Below are 24,611 nucleotides of genomic sequence, written 5' to 3' on the forward strand. Positions count from 1 at the left end.
TGTATTTCAGTAACACCGATTGTCAAAAAAACTTTTTAATTTATATTCAGAAAACTCCAAGGACCTCTATGAGATATTGACTCTGACTAAGTTATAATGTAGTTAGTTGCATTTTTGTGTACACTACTGGGGTTTGGTTTCCAAAAGCCCCAAACATAGCACAAATGAATGATCTCAGTCAGGACTCCACTTGTAGGTGCATAGTAGCCACTCACTAATTTAAAATTGATTGATTCTTGCACTCTCCATGCACTGGCCTGGCCAGGCCTAAAAGTAAATTAATATTTGGACTCTGAGTAGAAGATAAAACACATTTCTAGTTTTGGAAATCATTAAGTAGAATTACTAGTAATGGATGATTATTATTGTGTCATTCCACTCCCATAAAAATATAGAAGAAAGAAAAAGTTCTGCATAAAGGCAGTAGTCCAATCCCTCCCTCCTATGCAACTTTCCACTTCCATTTAAAAATGAGATAATAGCGTTTAGTGGGCAAAATAATGCCCACCAGCCCCCTCCCTTCGGAAGAATGTCCAAGTCCTAATCCCTAGAAGCTGTGAATACATTATGTTACATGGCAAAAAGGGATTAAGGTATTAAGGTTGCAGATGAACTTCAGGTTGCTAAGTGGCTGACCTTATAATAGAGAGATTATCCTGGATTATCTGAGTGGGCCGAATTAATCAGAAGAATCCTTATAAGTGGAAGACAGAAGCACAAGAGAGTCAGAGAGAGAGACGTGATGGCAGAAGCCAGGTCAGAGTGGTGAGGCACTGCTGGCTCTGAATATTGAGGAAGAGGACACCAGCCAAGGAATGTGAGCAGCCTCTAGAAGCTGGAGAAGGCAAGGACACACAGCGTCCCGGAGAGCCTCCTGAAGGAATGCAGATTTGCTGATACCTTGATTTTAGCACAGCCAGACCTGGGTTGGACTTACACCTGCCTAACTACAATAAAATAAATATGTGTTGCTTTCAACTACTAAGATTGTGGTAATTTGGTATGGCAGCAATAGAAAGTAATATATAGTGCTTATTATTATATAACTTTCTAAAGTTACTAAGTGGAATATCTGGAAATTTGAAAATGAGAAAACTACTGTAGCCTGGATAACTTTTAAAATGCCTTCCCATTATGAAATTCCAGTTTCCTCCCATTAAAGTGTGTGCAATAGCAACTAAACTGGCCCCCAATCTATAGCTTTGACAGAAGGTACTTAAGAGTCCTCTCTCTCCTTTATTTGCCTCTCAGACATTTTTTCATTTGCTCTATTTATTTTACTTCATCAAACTTCTATGCCAGAAGGAAGTACTTATTTTGGGAAAATCATGTTATTTGTATACAGTTCACATCAACCTTTCTGTTAACAATTTTAAATTTCCAGCAAACATACTTATTTCTTAGCTATCTAGTGTTGGACCCATCTGTTAGGAAGAGATAAATCCTTTGTCAAAATTAATGGAACCAGTATTTATAAGGCCAGATATTGCTGAAATTAAATAGGAATCCTTAATATCACTAATGGCCAAAATTACCCCAGGAAGAGATTTTTCTTCCAGTTAACAAGATCTTGACATGGTCATTCCCACCATTCCACAGTATTACTTGGCCATATTATTATCAAAATAAATAGTGAAGCTGACAGGCATAGGAAGGTATAGAGGAGGGGTGACTCATAGGGTACCAAAACATCATTTGGGGTGAGAGCTGGGTGGCCTGAAAAGTCAGGAATGGAGTCATCACATCTTCCTAGAAAGCCTTTCACAAAGGTAATTTTTTTCCAGTTTGACCTACTACATGTTAAAAAGAGTATCTTCTACATTGCTAATATTTTTTTTTTCTTACCAAGTCTACTGACTAGAGCATTCATCTGGTAGGAATTATTTTTGCCTGAATTAAATATGGGTGGGTAATTCAGACCCATTTCAGGTTCAACAAACATCTTGAACTATTTTTCAAACATTTGGGATTTGGCAAAAAAAAATATTTTACTCAGTAATTTTCTGCTTAATTTTTAAACCCTGGTGTGTTTTAAGGGGAATTTAATCCGTATGTTTCTGATTCATTTACCATTAACTGATCAGGTTCGTTTTCTGTTGCCATGTTTTTGGTGGGAGAGATGTTTTCGGGATACTTTCAGGGACTTTGACAAATTTCTTGGGGAAAAAAATGAAAGTTTCATTCATTCTGCCAAGAGAAATCAAATGTCAAAGCAAGGAAGACAAGAGAGGTTCTAGATTCATATCAGCAATGCAGCCTGACTGAAAAAGAGAAAGACCATTCTGCTCCCAACTTTACTGCTAAGGATGAAAGACGTTATGGATTTTGAATTGCAGACATGAATAAGTGCTGTCAAAATCCGGATTCACTCACCATTCTGAGTACTGGTGTCCAATGTGTCTGACAAAAAATGGCAGCTCCTCATGTGAGAGTCAGAGAGAAGAGCCAAAAAGATGTTTCCAGCAGCTTAGAATAAAATTGTTTATTATTATACACACAGTGAAAAGAGAAACAAAATTAGGGGTTATAAGAGAAAAACAGACGAAGAAGAAAAAGACAAATAGCTAATTTCTGAGAGTGCCTTCTAATACTTCATAAATTTGGAATTAAAAAAGTTAATCTAGGAAATCCTAGCCGGAGCAACCAGGCAAGAGAAAGAAATAAAAGGCATCCAAATAGGAAAAGAAGAAGTCAAGCTATCTCTCATTACTGATGATATGATTCAACACCTAGAAAATCCTAGAAACTCTGCCAAAAGGCTACTAGAACAGATAAATGATTTTAGTAAGGTTTCAGAATACAAAATCAATGTACACAAATATGCCAATAATGTCCAAGTTGACAGTCAAATCAAGAGCACATCCTATTTACCATAGCCACAGGAAAATGAAATACTTATGAATAAAGTTAACCAAGGAGGTGAAAGATCTCTACAAGGAAAACTACAAAATACTGCTGAAAGAAATCAGAGATGGCACAAATAAAGGGAAAAACATTCCATGCTCATGGGTTGGAGGAATCAATATCTTTAAAATGGCCATATTGCTCAAAACAATGTACAGATCCAGTGCTATTCCTATCAAACTACCAACATCATTTTTCACAGAATAAGAAAAAAAGTATTCTAAAATTCATACAGAACCAAAAAGTAACCTGAATAGCCAAAACAATTTTATTCTAAGCTGCTGGAAAAATCCTTAGTAAAAAGAACAAAGCCAGCAACATTACTGTATCCGACTTCAAACTTTACTATAAGGCTACAGTAACCAAAACAGCATGGTACTGGTACCAAAACAGAGATATAGACCAATGGAACAGAACAGAGCCCTCAGAAATAATAGCACATATCTACAAGCATCTGATCTTTGACCCTGACAAAAACAAGAAATGGGGAAAGGATTCCCTATTTAATAAATGGTGCTGGGAAAACTGGCTAGCCATATGTAGAAAGCTGAAACTGGATCCCTTCCTTACACCTTATACAAAAATTAATTCAAGATGGATTGAAGACTTAAATGTTAGACCTAAAACCATAAAAACCCTAGAAGAAAACCTAGGCAATACCATTCAGGACATAGGCATGGGCAAGGACTTCATGACTAAAACACCAAAAGCAATGGCAACAAAAGACAAAATTGACAAATGGGATCTAACTAAACTAAAGAGCTTCTGCACAGCAAAAGAAACTACCATCAGAGTGAACAGGCAACCTACAGAATGGGAGAAAATTTTTGCAATCTACTCATCTGGCAAAGGGCTAATATCCAGAATCTACAAAGAATTTAAACAAATTTACAAGAAAAAAACAACCCCATCAACAAGTGAGTGAAGGATATGAACAGACACTTTTCAAAAGAAGACATTTATGCAGCCAACAGACACATGAAAAAATGCTCACCATCACTGGCTATCAGAGAAATGCAAATCAAAACCACAATGAGATACCATCTCACAACAGTTAGAATGGCAATCATTAAAAAGTCAGGAAACAACAGGTGCTGGAGAGGATGTGGAGAAATAGGAACACTTTTACACTGTTGGTGGGACTGTAAACTAGTTCAACCATTGTGGAAGACAGTGTAGTGATTCCTCAAGGATGTAGAACTAGAAATACCATTTGACCCAGCAATCCCATTACTGGGTATATACCCAAAGCATTATAAATCATGCTACTATAAAGGCACATGCACACGTATGTTTATTGCGGCACTATTCCCAAAAGCAAAGACTTGGAACTGACCCAAATGTCCATCGATGATAGACTGGATTAAGAAAATGTGGCACATATACACCATGGAATACTACGCAGCCTTAAAAAATGATGAGTTCATGTCCTTTGTAGGGACATGGATGATGCTGGAAACCATCATTCTCAGCAAACTAACACAAGAACAAAAAACTAAACACTGCATGTTCTCACTCATAGGTGGGAATTGAACAGTGAGAACACTTGGACACAGGAAGGGGAAAATCACACACTGGGGCCTGTTGTGAGGAGGACGGAGTCGGGAGGGAAAGCATTAGGATATATATCTAATGTAAATGACGAGTTAATGGGTGCAGCACACCAACATGGCACATGTATACATATGTAACAAGCCTGCACACTTTGCACATGTACCCTAGAACTTAAAGTATAATTAAAAAAAACAAAAGAAAAAAAAAGTCAAAAACCAACAGATGCCAGCAAGGTTGTGGAGAAAAGGGAACACTCATGCACTGTTGGTGGGAATGTAAATTAGTTCAGCCCCTGTGGAAAATGGTGTGGAGATATTTCAAAGGACTCTAAACAGGGCTACTATTTGATCCAGCCACCCCATTACTGGGTATATACCCAAAGGAAAATACATCATTATACCAAAAATGCACATGCACTTGTATGTTCATCACCATGCTGTTCACAACAGCAAAGATATGGAATTAACCTAGGTGCCCATCAATAGTCGATTGGACAAACAAAATGTGATATATAAGCACCATAGAATACTACATAGCCATAAAAAAAGGATAAAATTATGTCCCTTCCAGCAACGCGGATGGAGCTAGAGGCTATAATTCTAAGTGAACTAATAAAGAAACAGAAAAAACTAATACTGCATGTTCTCATTTATAAGTGGGGAGTGAACATTGAGCACGCATAGACATAAACATGGGAACAACAGACACTGTGGACCACTTCAGAGGGGAGGGAGGGGGAACACGGGCTGAAAAACCATCTTTCAGGTATTATGCATGATGCTTATCATAATAAGCATAACTGGGTGCAACATACGCATGTAACAAACCTGCATATGTACCCCCTATGTCTAAAAGAAAAGTCAAAATTTTTAAAAATCTTATGCTATGACCACTTGTAATAAAACAAATAATTTTTTAAATGAAGCAATCAATATTATTCTAATTCAATCCTTTCCTCAATATATTGCTTTACAGAAAGTTTTAAAAAGCTACAGTATCATATTTCTTCAATTTGACTTTTGTTTCTCTCAAAATTTTTTCATTACTTATCCTGTTTCAGAAGCTAAAAGTGCTAGTTAAAAATAAAAGGTATTGCATTATTTAATTTTTTAACAGGTTTTTATTTATGTGCAAAGTTTTATATGTGTGTGTGTGTAAAACTGTTGGCATCAAAACGATTTAGTTTCAAGACTTTCTTATTTCTGTCATTGATACTGCAGCTATATTAATTGAGTTGAATATAAAAATACCATGTCTGAGTCATAAAAAGCTTCATAGAATTGTATAAGCAAATTCTGTTATTCACTAAACAAATATTTAGAACACCTTCTATGTGCAAAACATTGTGATGAAGAATTAATACACTGGGACAAAGGGCCTGTTCCTGAGCTTAAGTGTTTAGTATAATATACGTTTAGAAAATGAGGAATAAATATTAAGCTTCCAGTTTCACAGTTTGCAATTGCAATAAACTACCTGTCTTTTGTTAAAGAAACCTGCCTTGAAACCATGCCTTAATTTTATATTTAGAAAATTTTAAAATTAAGATTTTTAAAAAAATTATCCAGCTCTATAGCTCCAGGTATCTCAATCTCTTAGTAACATTCTCTTAGTTTATATCAAACTACTTTAAATCACACCTTCCAATGAGATGCCAACCATGTCAGCCAATCTGAGTCGTCCTGGCATTTCATAAAAGTGACAAGTCCACTGTGAAAATGATGGAGAGGGAAATCATGAGGAATTGTTTTAATGCCCAAAAGCAGCTTATCGTTTTCAATGTCTCTAAGTGGTTTTTTTTTTTTTTTGGTCCCAATTAAGAATTTTAAAATGAAATACTTGTTACATGGAGAAGGCTTAGATTCCTTAAGTCATAAATGAATAGGAGAATGGCCTTATTTTTCTGCATCTTAGGGTTAGCTTGATTGCGTTTAACAAATATCAAGCTATCAGTAGCATACAGGACCATTCCTATAAAGCAGCTGTGTTCCGCCCTTGAAAAATGGTATCGCAGCTCTTTTGAGAAAGAACTTTTGATTTAAGTGTTAACAAAGGACAGTGGTCAGAAGGAAAGCAAACATGTGCTCTTTAACATGAGTCAACACTGCTAGGATTTTATTATATGGTAAGAGAGCAAAAGAGAGATCTTTGTAAACGGAACAAAGTAACACATCCTGGGTCCAAGAGATGGAAGAGCTTTAATGGGTCCATGATTATCTCTTTCCATAATATACATTTTATTTCGTCATAAGCCTTCTCATGTAATTCCTTGGTATGTTGCAAGTCTGCATGAGGTGTTTTGTTTTGTTTTGTTTTGTTTTGTTTTTTAAATATAGACAGGGTCTTGCTCTGTCGCCCAGGCTAGAGTGCAGTGGCACAATCTCAGCTCACTGTAACCTTCGCCTCCTGGGTTCAAGTGATTCTTGAGCCTCAGCCACCAGAATAGCTGAGATTACAGCACGCCTGGCTAGTTTTTGTATTTTTTATAGAGACCAGATTTTGCCATGTTGGCCAAGCTGGTCTTGAACTCCTGGTCTCAAGTGATCCCAAAGTGCTGGCATTACAGGCAAGCCACCATGCCCGGCCCTGAGTGTTTTATTTATTTATTTATTTATTTATTTATTTATTATACTTTAAGTTCTGGAATACATGTGCAGAACCTGCAGGTTTGTTACATAGGTATACAAGTGCCATGGTGGTTTGCCGCTCCCATCAGCCCGTCATCTACATTCGGCATTTCTCCTAATGCTATCCCTTCCCTAGACCCCAACATCCAACAGGCCCTGGTGTGTGACGTTCCCCCTCCCTGTGTCTGCATGTTCTCATTGTTCAACTTCCACCTATGAGTGAGAACATGTGGTGTTTGGTTTTCTGTTCCTATGTTAGTTTGCTGAGAATTATGGTTTCCAGCTTCATCTGTGTCCCTGCAAAGGACCTGAACTCATCCTTTTTTATGGCTGCATAGTATTCCATGGTGTACATGTGCCACATTTTCTTTATCCAGTCTATCATCATTGGGCATTTGGGTTGGCTCCAACTCTTTGCTATTGTGAACAGTGCTGCAATAAACATGCATGTGCATGTGTCTTTATAGTAGAATGATTTATAATCCTTTGAGCATATACCCAGTAATGAAATTGCTGAGTCAAATGGTATTTCTGGTTCTAGACCCTTAAGGAATCTCCACACTGTCTTCCACAATGGTCGAACTAATTTACACTCTCCAACAGTGTTAAAGCGTTCCTATTTCTCCACATCCTCTCCAGCATCTGTTGTTTCCTGACTTTTTAATGATTGCCATTCTAACTGACCTGAGATGGTACCCTGCTTTGGCTCGCCCTCCGTGGGCTGAACCCACTGTCTAACCAGTCCCAATGAGATGAGCTGAGTACCTCAGTTGGAAATGCAGAAATCACCCGCCTTCTGCGTTGATCTTGCTGGGAGCTGCAGACCACAGCTGTTCCTATTCAGCCATCTTGCCAGCCACCCCAAGTGTTTCATTTTTAAAATACAAACATAAGTCATGCTTACCCATTTATGGATTATCACATCAATACAGTTGTGATAACCTCTCAACCAATAGTATAAATTGTGTGGACAACTTGGTACTTACTTTTCTATATTTTATTCAGTGCATGTAAGATCATAGACACACTAATACAAATACGCACACATACACAGCTTTCTAGGCAAAAATAGGATCACATTACAAGTATTAATAACACTCAGTTTCTTAAAGTTCATATCACATATTGAATATCTCTCTAGACTTTGTAAATACCTATGAAATATTCCATTCCATAGTGTAGATATGTAATTTATTCAATCATTCTCTTTTAACGGTGCCAAGGTCATTTCCAGTGTCTTGAGATTCTACCGTAATAGACAAGCTTATTTTATACTGTTGCATTTCAGTAGAATGGATTTCTAGAATTGGTCCGGGGCAAGATTTTAGCTCACTGCAGGCTCAACTTCCCTGACTCAGGGGATCCTCCTACCTCAGCCTCCTGAGTAGCTGGGACTACAGGTGTGCACCAACATGACCAGCTAATTTTTTATATTTTTAGTACAGATGGAGTTTTATCCTATTGCCCAGGCTAGTCTCAAACTCCTGGAATCAAATGATCCACACACCTTGGCCTCCCAAAGTGTTGGGATTACAGGTATAATCCATCGTGCGCAGCCCTTCTTTTGTTTTTTTGGGTTTTTTGTTTGTTTGTTTGTTTTTAATGAGGTTGCCTATGAGGCATTTCTTCACCATCTTGTATTCTTCCTCTCATCGGCTTTCTTTACGCATTAAATTAATTCTGTGACCTAAGTAAAGATAGAATTTTTTTTATAACTAGTATTTGTGTTATTTTTTACCTTCAGAAAATGCCTTTTCATAAAAACTTGACTCATGCATGTTTTCTGTCTGATAAAGCAAGTGCTAAATCACTGTTGGTTAAATAAATTTGCAAACATTTCCTTACCTTGAGATGAAAGAGCCTACATTGATATGTCTTTGACATTCCTGTCCTTTCTACTGAAACAGTATGTTTGAGTAATTATAGGCAAGGATGGAGAGGAGGGGTAGGAAGGACCAAGGAAGCTGATAGTGAGCTAGTATTCAGAGCATAAGGACCACTCCCAGCAGAGAAACAGAGGGCCAGCTGGTCATATAGGCAACAGCCCTGCCTGTGGAGCTGCCCACTGTAGAAAAGAACTTCACTGGGAAAGCCAGCATGGTTTAGTGGGCAGTGAAGTGTCTGAAGCTTTGTAGAATTCACTTCATGTAACTGCAAAGCTAGCCAATCTTATTCCAGCCTTAGGAAAAAGAAATCTTTTTCCAGCCTCAGTGAGCAGGACTGTCTCAGGAACAAGATGTGCCTGAGCATTTAAGATAATATTTGTCAGTTCCTTAAACAGGATGGCAAAGCAAAAAGAGGAGAAAGCAAAGACTGCTCTGGCCAAGCAGTGCACATTTTCTGTCAAACTCCAGGGAGATCCCTGAAGATATGGGGTGGAGTTAGTAGGGGAAAATTTTGGTTGCAAAGGGATCACTATATTTGTTCTCACCATGGAAGTGAAACCAGGACAAGTGGTAATCCTGTTTTCCTGTTTATGAAATATCTCACTTCCTTAGATTCTTTTTGAGTTTTATGGCTATCTATAGACGTGGAAATTGAGCTGAAGCCAAACAGATCTGGCCTTATTTCCCATGGGCCTGTGCACCACCAATTTGGATCTGAGATCAGACATAACCTTGCCATAAGCAGCAAAGGGCTTGGTGAACCCTCAAAAAGGCTGTCAAACACCCAGAGGCCTTGGGGATCAGGAAGGAGCTATCATGTGGTCTTTCATGTGAGTACAGAATGTCCCAAGAGTGCTGCTTCAGTTCTTTATTTTAATTATTTCTAATTCTCAGAGGTTCTTCACTGTGAGTGAGAGTGCTATGAAGGAGATATGTTTCCACATGTATCCTACGTGTAATTCTTTTATCCATGTTTATATCAAACTATTAATATACATTTATTGACCCCTCCAATGAGCCAAGCACCACAGTGGGTGTTGTGGAGTATTCAAAGGATAGCAAAATAATATTTGTCTTTCTAAGTTTGTGTTTTTCTTTTCTTTTTTCTTCTCTTTTTCTCGTCTTTCCTCTCTTCCTTTCTTTGTTCATACAGAAAATTGCAAAGAATTAAAAGCCTCTAGAATCTCTTTCTCTTTCTGATGAGTTGGAAACAAGTAGTGATTCTTAATTTTTCTATTATTTATTTTTTGTTCATTTATTAATTATTTATTTATTGAGACAGGGTGTTGCTCTCTTGCCCAGGCTGGAAGGCTGGAGTGCGGTGGCATGATCTCGGCTCACTGCAACCTCCGCCTCCCAGGTTCAAGTGATTCTCATGCCTCAGCCTCCTGAGCAGCTGGGATTATAGGCCTGTTACTTTAATTTTAACTTTTCCTTTAACGTTTAAATTTTGTATATTGTCATGTGACATTCTGGAGTGCTTGAATTTATTCCTGAATCTACTTTTATTCTTTAGCCATAAAGCAAACCCATTTTGTGTATAGGTGCTGACCAATATGCACCAATATTAACTATTCAAGGTTAATAATTTGTTTCAAGATTGTGTTTGTACATGTGTGTGTGTGTGTACACATGAGAGGCAGTCTAGAAAATTTCTAAGTAATCATTAAAATAATACGAGTAAAATAGTGATAAAGAGAATTGTTTGGGGCTATTTGTAGGGAAAGCATTCTGCTTTGATAGGTGAAGAGAGAGGTGAGCTCCTTAGATGTGCTCTTCTTTAACTCTGCCCTCCTTATTTGCAAACGTATTTACATGCACAATTCATCTCTCTTTTTCCTTTTAGTCTTTGAGAATAATGTGCATTTGGTTCAATTTCCTTTTACTATCTTTATATTTTACTTCATCAGTTATCTTTTCTTTTCTCAACCTTCCATCTCACCTCTCTGCTAGAAAAACCTAATAGCTTAGAAACATAAATAAATAAATATCCTGCATCCTAAATAAAAATCCTTCCCCACACTATTTTTATACCAGTCTATGTCCCATCTTTCCTGTATTTCTATTTTTTTATGAATGTAGTATTACGCTATCTCTATGTTATTCTATTCACTTTTCCATAGACTGAAGTCTGGCTTTTACTGCCATCACCTCAATGAAATTGCTCTTGAAGAAAAATTGGGCAGATGTTTCTGTTGCATCTGGCAATGGTAATGACTTCCTTTATTTAACGCTTCAATCTCTGAGTTCCTTTACACCACTCTGCTGCTCTGTCTTTAACCAGCTTACAATCTCTGATCACTCTTTTTTGTCCTCTTTCACGACTTTTTCTGTCATTTTTTATTTCTTAAATGTTGATATTCCTGACATTCTGCCACTATGTCTTCCATTTTCTGTACTTCCTTGTGTTAATCCACTTTCAGGATTTTGACTGCCACCAGAAAAGATGTGTACTTTAGTAATCCTGGTGTTACTTTGCCAGTAATGCTCCATGCTATCTCTCCAGCTCTGAAATTTTCCCAGAACCAGTTCATCATCTCCACCTGATTGTCCCTATGGGAACTTGTAGCTCCATGCACCACCCTAAATCCTTTGGAGCATGTTAGGGTATTCCCCATCTGCTGCTTCTCCCTGTAATTGCCAACTTTGTCAGGAGTACACCATTTACCTAGTCATCCAAAATAGAAACTGAGGCTTGAAGCTCATCCTTGAATTCCTCTTTTCCTTTGGCTTTTATATCCAGATAATCACCATGTAATGTGTACTTTCCCTCAAGGAACCCAATTAAGTAATATTGAATCAGTTTCTTCATCCCCATAACTACTCATGCTACTTTAATGCAGGCCCTAGACTATTCCAGTAGTCTGCCAGCCTCTACAACTCTGTGCCCAAACTCATCCTCTCACAGTGGACAGAAAAATGCATCCAAATTTGATTCTGATTTTGTTACTTTCCTAACAAAATTTGCCAGTGGTTCCACATTATTTGGTCTATTTCTTTGTCATTATTTTACATGACCACCTACCTCATGCTTTGCTTTCCCACAATACTGAAGGCCTTGTAATTCCTCTCATATGCTATATTGTTTATCCTGCCTCTGCCTTTGCTCAGGCTCTCCCCTTTGCTTGGAATGTCCCTATCCTCTTCACCTAGATAACTCCTCCTAATAAGATTCTTTTTGAGGGTAACCTCTTCCAAGAAGCCTTCCTTGCTCCTTACCCATACCTCTAATTGGACTGGGTAACCGTCTCTCTACTTCCATAGTAGACATACGTCTTCACCAGATTTGCCATTTTATAGTGTGATTATCTGCTGATGTCTGTTATTAAGTAAGAGGACTATATTTTTATATTTATTTTTATTCCCAATGCTTTAATTCAGTGTCTGTCATGTAATAGACACTAGATAACTAATTTTGTTAGGTGAGGGCTTCATTCCAGTCTTAAATTGTGAACAAAATTTAGATCATTGCAACCAAAGGAGGAATCTAATAGAGATAAGACTTTGAACTCAGAATCAGACACAAAAAGATCCAAAGCAGATTTCTGAAGTTAGTGTGGAGCACGTACTAACTGGAGTGAGGTAGGGGTGTGTGTGTGTGTGTGTGTGTGTGTGTGTGTGTGTGTCTATGGGGACATCTGTAAGCAGATTAGACAGATCGATTGGGGAAAATATGGTAGGCCATTAGTACTGGCATATATATACATTTTGGACATTGCAGAAAACACTCAGGCATTGTGATTGAATAAGGGATCAACATTAAAAGAATCATGTGTGGCTGGGTGTGGTGGCTCATGCCTGTAATCCCAGGACCTTGGGTGGCGAAGGCGGGCAGATCACTTGAGGTCAGGAGTTCGAGACCAGCCTAAGCAACATGGTGAAACCCCTGTCTCTACTAAAAATACAAAAATTAGCAGGGTATGGTGGCAGGCACCTGTAATCCCAGCTACTCAGGAGGCTGAGGCAAGAGAATTACTTGAACCTTGGAGGCAGAGGTTGGAGTGGGCAGAGATGGTGCCACTGTACTCCAACCTAGGCAACAGAACAAGATTCTGTCTCAAAAAAGAATAGTGTTTAGAAAAAACACTTTTAGCAATACTGGGTTAAAGTCGATTAATAGATTAGGGCTGGGAGCAGGGTAAGCAATTATAAAAATCTAACAGTTCAGGAATGAAATGGTAATGACCTGAGCTAGAATAATGGCAGTGAAAATGCTGAGGAAGAAGTTTATATGAACACATTCTGCCCCTCCTGCCCCCTCCCCCCAGAAAAAAATTGCTATGGTGGCTAAACGTCAAGTCTAGGGAGAGGACTGTGAGTTTAGGAATAATGTCTGTTTTGTTCAAAGCTCCTTCCTTACTGCTTAGCACTGAGCTTGGCACTCAGGTATTGGTGAATAAATGGGTTTTAAGTGAAATAATTAATGGATAAGTATTGATATAACTCTTTCACATATGTACAGTGCATATCTTCTTTGAGAGAATACAGTGAAATTTTTTGAGGGTTTGTTTTGTTTTTTTCGCCTCCACCAGCACCATTGCAACAGTCTGAGTAATGGATTTAGAATAATGATGTAAAGACATAACTTCGCTGTAGTTGAAGTCATTTTTATTCGCTTTGAATTGCTTCCCCAGAGTCCCAGGCCTTAGCGTAATTAATGCTACTGTTTTGAAATCAGCTTTGGAACTTTGATCTCAAGCTCTAAATATGTCCTTGTTGTAAACAAGCAATACATCTAATAATAACCATATCACCTGCTTATCTAAAGGGTTTCATGTGTGTTTAATTAATAATTGAGAACAAATGTCACCATGGTTGCCTCAGTCTAGACAGGGGACAATTATATCATCTACTTATTTTTTCTGCTTGAGAGATATATAAAGCTTTCAGAGAAGCTTATTAAGGATTCAGGTAATTAAACTTGTATTTTTTTTGCACACTAACAACAATTTATATTTGAAAACAATTAGCATGAGTTACTTGTGTGTTCAAAGAATCAATTTCACAAAAAACTTTTATAATGTACAATGATATATGTTCAGAGATATTAACTACAACCCTGTTAACAATAATAAAAGTCTGGAAATTACTTAAATATCCATCATAAATTATGGTAGACATTCTAGGCAGAATTCTAAACAATGATTTTTTTAAAGAAAATAAGTAAATCTATATATACTGTTACAGAAACATGTGCAAGATACATTGTTAAGTGGAAAAATTGCAAAATTACAGAGCAGAATATTTAGTAGAAAGCAATTCATGTGAACAACAATACACATAATGTATTTGTGTGCACACATGCACATGCTTATTACAACACTAGTTACACTAAGATTACCTGGGGGGGACACACATACACATACACACACACATACATACACATACATTATAACACCAGTTACATTGAAATCAGCTGGGAGGATTCCTAAAAAAAAGTTAACGGTTATTAATTCTGGGGTTATTTTAAGCATTTTAAAACATTTTTACAATAATTATGTATTAATTGACAGAAGATAGTAGACAAGTAACTTCTGCATTTTCCAGGTTCTGTTGTGGCATCTCCTTGCATTTTAATTTATAGAAATTAACAATAAAGACAACTTGAAAAAATACCTTTTTCTTTAGGTATTTCTAAGGTTAATAAGTAGTCATTCAAATGCAGGCATTATAGGGATAAAACTAGCTTCACATCACTTAGTGTCAATTTAAATACCAATTAATTAGATATAAAAAAGTAAACTCACATACTCCCACTATCTGTACTCAGGGATGATATTAAAAATATTCAACAACCCATAGGATTCTAACCAATCAGAAGAGGCACAGCTATTAGTCATGGAAGCGCAACCCTTTAGTTGGTGGATCAAGAAAGAATCTGAGGTGTTTGGAAGGTTCTAAGGTAGTCCAGGCTGCAGAGCTTGAGTGACATATTGGAAGTGTGGAAGGGCAATTATTTACCAACTAGTGTATACTGTTTGTTGTATTTTAACTATTACCACAGCTCTGTGAGCCTGCCTATTCTTGAACCTTATTGGCCTCAGGGACTTTCCTTAAACAAACCGAATACTGTAATTATATACTTTCTTATCTTTACACACACTGTTTCTTTTCCTTCCTATTCTGTAACCATCTTCCATTCTCTACTTTCAAGTCTATGCCAGTGATCTCCCCTTCAACGTCTATTTTTCAAACTCTAGTTCAAATGTCACTCCCTCTGTGAAGTCTTTCATGGTCTTGATCCTTATCTTAGTCCATTCAGAAGACTATAACAGAATACCACAGATGGGCATCCTATAAACAACAGAAATTTATTTCTCACAGTACTGTAAGGCTGGGAAGTCCAAGATCAAGGGGCCAACAGATTTGGTGTCTGGTGAGGGCCTGTTTCCTGGTTAACAGATGGATGGCTGATACTTCTCACTGTGTTCTCACAAGATGACAGGAGTGAGAGAGCTCGCTGAGACTTCCTTTATGAAGACAGTCATCCCTCTGATCAGCTCTCGAAGACCTCACGTCCAAATACCATCACCTTAAGGGAATAGATTTCAGCGTATGGATACTAGGGGGAAGTAAACATTCAGTCAATAGCACTCTTCCTCCTTCCCCAGCAACGATTACAAAGGAAACCACTCCCTCTGGTTGTGAGTTCCTAAAGAACTCTGTTTATTCCAATGTTGTGTTTCTTCTACTCCATTGCATAGTGCTAAAATTGGGCTCTGTGAAATCATGAGTGTGTCTCACTAACGCTATATTCTTAGCAACTACCCTAGTGCCAAGGACATAATGGGTGCATTTATTACATGAACAAATTAGTAGTAATAAAAGTAGCAGACATGGTAGTAATTGCAATCTTCTTTATGGTAGGTTCTAGTGCATTACATGTAGCAACTTGTTAATCTTCACAATAAACCAACTGTGCCACAATTTTCACCATTTATCAATTAACAAACTGAGACACCAAGGGAGTGAAAGACTTGTCCACAGTTTTCAGTCATAATGGCCGAGGCAAGATTGGATCCAGGCAGTGTGGCAGAGTTTATGAGTGTTGGAGCCTGTAACTAAACAGACATATCCAATTACTCAGATGTCTTCATGGCACTGGACAGGCAAGTAGTTCTCAGGTCCTAGAAATCTTGTCACATGATGGAAATCTGTGGTCACAAAGTAATGTGTCAGTTCTTGATAAACAGTTCTATGATGGATATTAAATGCTACTCAGAAGGGAGATAATGAGTGTGTTCATAGAGTACACAAACCAGGGTGAGATGAAATTCTACACTCTGTTAATTTGCTAGCAAGAGGATTTCAGAATATGTGTGTGTCATATTTATGTACACAAACACACACACACATCCTGTATGAATATGTATGGACATATATGTGTATGTTAAAATAATATTAAATGCAATTATCCCTCCAATAGCCCAATCATGAGGGTTTAACCTATATGAATGCATCTACTCATCATAACAGCTTTCGGAAGTAGATGCTATTACTATCTCCCTTTTACCCAGTTAGGAAATTTGAAGCCCAAAGAAGTGACTTGTCCAAAGCCATAGAGACAGGGAGCGATAGATCCAAGATCTCCACCTAGCAACCTAATTTTATAGCCTATTAAACTACCATGCTATTCCCTATTTTAAAAAAAATTATAAGCAATTATCAAACAATTATTGTGTCAGGCACAGTTCTAATGTGTAGTAACAGTTAAAATGCATTATGTGATACCAGGAATTTTTAAAAAGCACTCAGCAAATGTTGAAATCCTTTGGGATAGGTACTACTTTTACCCACATTTTCAGAGAGAAAGCTGCAGCCCAGTGAAGTTAAGTAAATTAATCACCCCTACAATAAATTACATAAGTAGGAAATGATAGAACTATGATTTATATTCCAGAATCTGGCCACTCTTAAGCATTTAAGCATTACACTCCAATGTCCAATGTCTCAATAGTAGGGCAAATTTTCAGGGGTCAATATGGAATCCTAACATTTTAAGTTTGAAAAATAAGTCAAGCACAAGGTAGGAAGCAGCTGATATCTGGCTGGCTGGCTGGATGCTGATGGGTGTCCCAGGGTAGCATTACCTTTTTAAACATCCTGAGATACAGGATCTGAACATCAGTAAAAAATTTTTTTCTTATATATTTATTGTGATATATTTTATGCATTCAGAGAATGTTTTAAAAATAATGTAATGATAATCAATGCACCCACCCTCCAACTCTGTTAAATTTTAACATGTTTACATCTGTATTATATATTGTGTAGAGAGACACAGATGTAGATATAGATGTAGAAAATGTAGATATTTATACCTCCTTTCAGTGAAGCCCCCGGGGAGCTCTTCCTTTCTCACTCTTCATACTTCCTCGTCTTAAGATAGTAATCCCTCTACTCGTTTCATGTTTATTATTTCCAGGCATTTCCCTATATGTTCTTTTTTATGGCCACTACTTATGTGTATGCTTATAAATAAAATGTGTATTGCTTTTCAGGTTTTCAAATATTATTTTGTATTGTGCCATATTCCATTACCTAAACCATGCCTGACATAGGATATGCACATGATAAATATTTTAGAGTGAAGAATGAATGGATTTTTTTAAGGATTTAGGTAAAAGTAACCCTAATCTCTTCCTATTAACTGGTATAATGTTCCGTTTTTAACATATGCCACAAAAAATTTATCTAATAAAAATTTATATTAAATATCAGTAATAAAAGTTGTACAAATTATTTCTAATTCTTACATTGTGTGTTTCTTCTGCTTTACTTAATGCATTGAAAGCTTATTTATTCACTGTTGAATAAAATTAAAAATGATAGGCACCTTTATCTTGCTTCCCACTTTAGAAGAAAACCATTCTAATATTTTATCTGTAAAATTGTCATTTGCTACTTAATTTTGGTACATAGCCCTTATCAGTTTAAAAACTTCCCCATCAGTTCCAGGGTGATTACAGTTTTCACCACAAAGTGATGCTAAATATTACCAAATGCAAATATTTCTGTATCCATTGAGATTTCATATACTTTTTTCTTTTTATCTGTCTATGTAGTAAATTACATTAATAAATTTTCTAGTATTATACCATCCTTGCATTCTTGAAGCAAACCTTACATAGTTGTTATGTACTAATTTTTTAATGTTAAAATATTAGATTATATTTTATTCAAATAAATTACATTTTATTTATGACTTTTGAGTCTATACTAAGTCAGGAAAGTGTAATTTTTCTTTCTTTTGCCCTTTTCATCCAATTTTAGAATCAAGTTTGTAACTGGCATGCACAAGGTCTAACAATAAAGTCCAAAAATATAGTGGCACAAACAACATACAGGCAATGAGTAGGCATCTGGGCTTCATAAGAGTATCCAATAAAACAAGGCTCTTTCTTCTATTTTGTTGCTTAACCATTTTCTAAATTTTGTCATTATCTAAAAGAAAAAACTGGTTCACCCATACCAAGCCTACACATTTCAGCCCATGAGGATGGAGAAAAAGAAGAAATTGATGACAGATTCTATCATCACAAAAGGATGTGATTTGGAAGTTGCATGCATCCATTCAGAGCTTCTTGGCCAAAACAGTCATATTAACAAAACTAGCTGCCAACATACTACAAAATGAGGTCTGTAGTTGAGTTTCCATGATCAGCTAAAATTCAAGAGAGAGAACAGGTATTGGGGATAATTAGCAGGCTCTTTTACAGAAACAGAATAGGGTTGAATCCAGCTGTTCTTCAAATATGTGTGAGAATACTTCTAATTTTTTTTAAAGGGTAAATATTTATCTATCTAATTACGTTAAAAAATAAATTTGTTAGATAATATTTTTATTAATTTTTGGATGTATTGTCTTAGCAAACTATCTATTTTCTCTAAATTTTCAAATTTATTGGCATAAAATTGTATATGAGTAAGATTTTTTTAAGTGTTGACACAATTGGAGTTATTCTTCTCTTTATTTATAATATTGTTAATTTGTTTTATCTTCTTTTTTATGATTAGACTCGCCAGCATTTTATCAATTTTATTACTTTTTAAGACAATTATATTATGATTGTCTTTTTCCCATTTTACATTTTTATTTTATTGCTTTTCTTTTTAGGTTATTAATTTCTGTTCTTTATTATGTCATTACTTCTATCTTTTAATTTAGTCTATTGTTTTTCTAAGTTCTTGCACTGATATATAATTTGAATATTCAGTTAATTGTTTTTCAAGTTTGTTTCAAGTATTTGCACAAAAAGCTAACAATTTCCTTTTAAGTGCCAGTTTGATTTTATTTCACAAATGTTAATATAAAACATTTTATTTGTCATTAGTTCTACATGTTTTCTAAGTTCCATCATAATTTCTTATTTGACCTATGAGTTCTTTAGAAGAGTTTTCAACTCTCTGAATGTGTATCTCCTATTTATTTAAAATTTAATTTTATTGTGATCAGAGAACATGGTATTTTGATGATTTCTTTATGTGTCAACTGGGCCATGGGCAGATATTTGGTCAAGCTTTATTCTGGGTGTTTCTGTGAGGGTGTTTTGGATGAGATTAACAATTAAATTAATAGTCTGGATAAAACAGATTAAGTTTTATAATGTGAGTGCACCTCATCCAATTAGTAGAAGGCCTAAATAAAACAAATGTCTGACCTTTCCACAGCTAAGAGAGAATTGTCCTGCCTGATGGGCTTCAAACCACCAGAACATCAGTTCTTCCTGGTTCTGCAGTAGTCTCCAACCTTCAGACTCAAACTTCAGCACCTGTTCTTCAGATTTTGGACTTGCAGCCTCTATAATCACATGAGCCAATTCCTTATATAAATTTATTTATACATGCTGACAGTTGGTTCTGTTTCTCTGGATAACCCTGACTGTTAGAGCTGTTACCTCAAATTTGTTTTCTTATATTTGGTGTCTGTTTTGGAGTACTTACAAGTGCTTAAAATGTTCTTTTTCAATTAGGTGAGTCTCAGTCTCTAAGATAATTTTTTTATTGTTCTATTTTATAGATTACATGTTAATGTCAATTAAGCTATAAACATTTTATTGCTGATACATTATCAAAATGCTTTTCAAACAGCCATTTCCAACAGTCTATTCTTTGGCAAAAAAACAATGCCATTCTCTTGCCATGGCCAAATGTGAGTGCTACTAACAGGTAAACTCTTAATTTGTAAGTGAGGCTGAAATCTTAAAATGCCTTCCTGAAACTTATACATGATTGATTTTGTTTATTTGTGTAATTTCTTTGTTCTATGGTTTCAGCTTCAATTGCTGAGAAAATGTCAAGATTATTTCCTGAGAATTTCCTTTGTGGCTAAGACAAAGGAGAAGTTTTAATTTTACTAGAAACTGTGAAACGAGGCTTTTAAAAAGTTTCATTAAAAAAAAAATTAGGGAAGAATAGGCATATTCAGAAAACCTACTTTCATTTAGGCTGGATTGGTAAAAAAAAAAAAAAAAGAATCCTCCCTTATGGCAACTAAGGCATGAAATAATGCAATGTAATTTTGTGAATTAAATGCATGGGATCTGGAGTTCCCTTGGCTGGTTCAAATCTCAGCTCCACCTATTACTGGCTGTATGACCTTGAGCTTGCTACTTAACCTCTCAGGGTTTTACATATGAAAATGGAGTGTAATAAAAGTGCCTCCCTCATAGTAAAACTGAAATAACGTATGGAAAGTCTTTACAAGTCCGTATCATAGGACTTGTCAAAATACTTTCATTAGGTATTATTATTATTTGCCTGATAATTAATGTATCCTATTTTAAAATGCATTGATAGGACTTAATTTGGTTCATTAGAATAGAACAGATTTTGATGCTGTTTGAATACATTCTAAAAATAAAACAAAATCAGCGGGAGATACGTTCGACCATTCTGTGAATGAGTCTCCATATTCTATAAGAAGAGGAAAAATCATATCACGCAAATTGCAGTATACGTTATGGAGGAAAAAAATGCACTTGTTTTCCTATTCATTTTATAACGTCCCTGTTAGTCTCATTTAGAAGGAAAAGCTGAAGTTTAGAATTGTGAAAAACTCATGGTTGCTTCACAACTTGAACTCAGTTGAAGAGCGTGGTATGTGAGACAGGCATAATCATCTCACAAACTTATATTCAACAAATATTTATTGAATAACTACTATGTGCCTGGCACAGTAAAATTTGATTCCATTATATGTCAGTCAGTCAAGTTCTCTTTTGTAGCCTCAAACTGTACAATGAACTAAAACCAGAAAATTCACAAATAGAAGCTTTTCATAACAAAATTGACCAGGAAACAGAATGGCATCTCTTTTGAACAACTGACTGACCCATAACAGCCTATAAAATCCTTAAGTCAGCAGGGTGCAGTAGCATGTGCCTATAGTCCCAGCTACTTGGGAGACTGAGGCAGTAGGATAACTTGAGCCCAGAAGCTTGAGGCTATAGTGTGCTATTATCACACCTGTGAATACTCACGGCACTCCAGCCTGGGAAGCATAGTGAGATCCTGTCTCTTAAAAAAAACAAAACAAAACAAAACAAAAAAAACTGTAAGTCTTCTTACCCAGAAATAAAACAAAACAAGTTCCTTTTTTTTAAACAGAAAATAAGTCTGTTTAGTGCTATTAAACAATCAAATAGCCTCCCCTTTTTTCTGTGTTTGCGATGACATTTTCACCATTACCTTCTGTTTCATAATGCATGTGAAGGAACTTTGTGCTCTTCAGATATTGTTTGTCTATAAGTGCAGTCCCACCCAGTGAGTGCCAAATCTTACTGGACACCACCACTTAGAAGTCCCTCTGTTACCTTAACTTCTAAAATCCCAAAACTAAACTTGTTTCCTCCGAAATCTGCTCTGTTTCTGTGTTCCTTATTTCAGTTAATTGTACCTGTACATTCAACTGCCTAAGGAACAGATTTCATCACTGATTAGGACCTCTGGAAACCCTAAATATGGAGAAAATAATGATGCAGCCCCTACTCCCACTAAGCACACGTACTTTACAAACTATTCATAGAATCAGTATAAAGTCTAACAAAAATCTGATTTTTCCCATGATGACAACTTTAACATCTTCGAACTCTAAAATGTTGAATTATTCAAAAACTATTTCAGTAGCTCCATTTGCAGGCAGCCTCAGTGTCTACTGAGAAACCCAACATTGCTGGACTTCATATCCAATGCAACTGCCTCCTTGACAGCTGCCTGAGCCTCCTTATTGGTGTCTCTACCTATACCTTTCTCACCTCAAGTCTGCCCTTCACAGTGTTGTCAGAGTCATCTCCGCAAAAGCAGACCTGATTATGTTATTTCTCTTCATAAAACTCTTAACTTCTTAGCAGGACACTCAAGGCCCTTCCAAAATTAGCAACAACATACCATTCTTGGATCATTTCCAGATGCTTCCCTCTTGCCCTGTCTCTTCCCCCCAGATCTCTAACCACAGCACTCACCACAGATGCCACATAATTTCCTATCTCCTGAATTCTTGTTACTTTCTTTACCTATTCCCGTTTCCCTTTCATTGGTATTGTTTTCTCATTTCAATAATTTGCTAAAATTACTTTTAGTTATTCAATACCTTAACTGAATGTCTCTGTTTAAATCACTTCTAACCACTCACATTCACAGTGGAAGTAACTGCCTTTTTCGACTTTCTATGTAAGTTGGTTTTTAAACACATAAAGCCCGAATACCTTGTTTTGTGATTAGAGCCCATTTTTCTGCTACCTCTGAGTCCTTTTAAGGACAAGAACCGTGTCTAACCGTCCACCCCTTCCTCCTTTCCAGGTCCTGTAGAACATAGCTGCGCCTGGAATTGAATGATCGTGTTTTCCGTGCAGAGCTATCTGCCTTTGGACAGGAGGAGAACTCTCAGCACCATTCCCTTTCCACGGGAGCTTCTTTTTTCTCATTCTTTTTCTTGCCTCCCTCAACTCCCATCCTCTGTTCTGGGAGAAGGTGAAGCTGGCCTGACAGGCCTGAGGGAAGCCGGACGGAGGCACACTTGCCAGCTTTTAGTTGAGGGAGGCACCGCAGCAAGGCTCTCCAGTCCCTCCTTCCCTGGGAGCACCAGCTCTGATTCTAGTGGGCAGCTGCAGCTAAGACGAAGACAAATGAATCCAGAGACTTCTCTCGAGCTATGAGCCTGAGCCAAAGGCACAGCCCAGCTGTCCAGAGAGCTTTGTGACAGAACATGGGGGGCCAGCTGACAGGAACCGAGGCACTTTTAAATTTAGCACTTGTCCTCGCCCTTTCGGTTCACGATTTCTTGGAAGTTTCATTTGGAAAAAGAGGTGAGGGACAGAAGTAGAAGTTGGGAATTCTAGATCCCTTGATTCTAGAATATTCTAAGATCTTCCAAACTAACCCTGATTCCTAAAAACAGAATAGGACAATCTTGTTTTCGGTATTGAGAATAGCAAATATAGAAATCCCTTAATTCTTTGACTTAGCTTAGCAGGTGCAATTAGTTCTATCCCTAAGCCTTCTTACCAGAAAATTTTCTAGTGTAAAATGATTGGATGGGATACCAATTGGGATGGGTGTGGTAATAGTAAAACCATATTCTTTAATAACTTTTTCTTATTTGTTTTCCTGGAATTTTGGTTGGCATTTTTTAATGAATTACATGCTTATTTTTAAAAATTATTATGATGGAGAATTTTTGTTAGGCAGAATTTCAAATCTGTCATCTGCTGTTGACTCTTACTTTCACTACAAATTTACGAAGGTAGAGAGACCCAGTTCTTACTTAAGTTATATCTAACATAAAAATACAATTCTGTCCCAATCTGTTCATTTAAAGGGTAAATTTATAGCATCTGTTCAACTTTATATGCTATCTCAAAATTGTCAACATTTTAAGCAAGGTGCTACCTAATTTTAATGGGTGCACAAGAGGGAAAAGTGGGTCATTGACTTCAAAGGCGAAACTATAAGCTATTAATGGGCTACGTTGTGCTGAATTACAATCTCTTTTCTTGTTTCAAGTTAAAATTTTTAAGTGGCCACATGTTTGGCATTGTAATTGATACCACAATGCTGCTGTTCCTTGACTCATTCATTCTCAAATGTATATATATATATATTCTTAGTTCACAAATTTCTATTTCTTTTACACAAGTTGCTATTTCTTGTAGTGTTCATGAACTGGGTATGCTGTCCTTTGTAATGAAAGACTACAGACTGCCATGAATAGTACCTTGGCTTCTTTTTTTACAGTGTGGAATGAGAGCATTTATTATTGTTGCATTATTGTATTTTTGAATAAAAATCCCTATTCCCACTGTACCAAATCAAATGAGCTTGTGTTGAATTTTATTCATCAGAATTGTGGTTAATGCAGTCCTCAGCTATGGCACTAGTTAGGGCCTGCCCAGGACTGCTGAAGAGCTGGCTTTGTGATTTACCTGGCTCAGTATGTGATCAAGCATCTCCATTATTGGAATAAAATAAAAACTTTCAAGATCATGGTTGTGCAATAGAGAAAACAATTTTACCTCTGCACTAACACTCAAATGCTACACTAATCTACAGTAATTCTGTTATTGCATTTGGAAGCAATTCCTTCTATTCATTCAGAGATAACTGTTACAATACAATAGGCTGCCTCCTGCCTTTTCCCCTC

At 36.6% G+C, this 24,611-nt stretch overlaps 1 long non-coding RNA gene across 4 annotated transcripts; it reads left to right on the forward strand.

Annotated features, from left to right (window-relative positions):
* Positions 1-9,681: 9,681 nt before the first annotated feature.
* LOC101926956 (uncharacterized) lies at positions 9,682-24,284 on the forward strand. 4 transcript variants are annotated; one of them, NR_188017.1, is made up of 4 exons: positions 9,682-9,801; positions 18,423-18,609; positions 19,643-19,944; positions 22,772-24,284. It is a non-coding gene; the product is annotated as an uncharacterized LOC101926956 (long non-coding RNA). The 4 variants fall into 4 exon arrangements; NR_188020.1 differs by having other exon boundaries at positions 18,462-18,609; NR_188018.1 differs by lacking the exon at positions 18,423-18,609.
* The last annotated feature ends 327 nt before the right edge of the window (positions 24,285-24,611 follow it).

Source organism: Homo sapiens, chromosome 8, assembly GCF_000001405.40.
Source record: "Homo sapiens chromosome 8, GRCh38.p14 Primary Assembly".
Classification (NCBI taxonomy): Eukaryota; Metazoa; Chordata; class Mammalia; order Primates; family Hominidae; genus Homo; species Homo sapiens.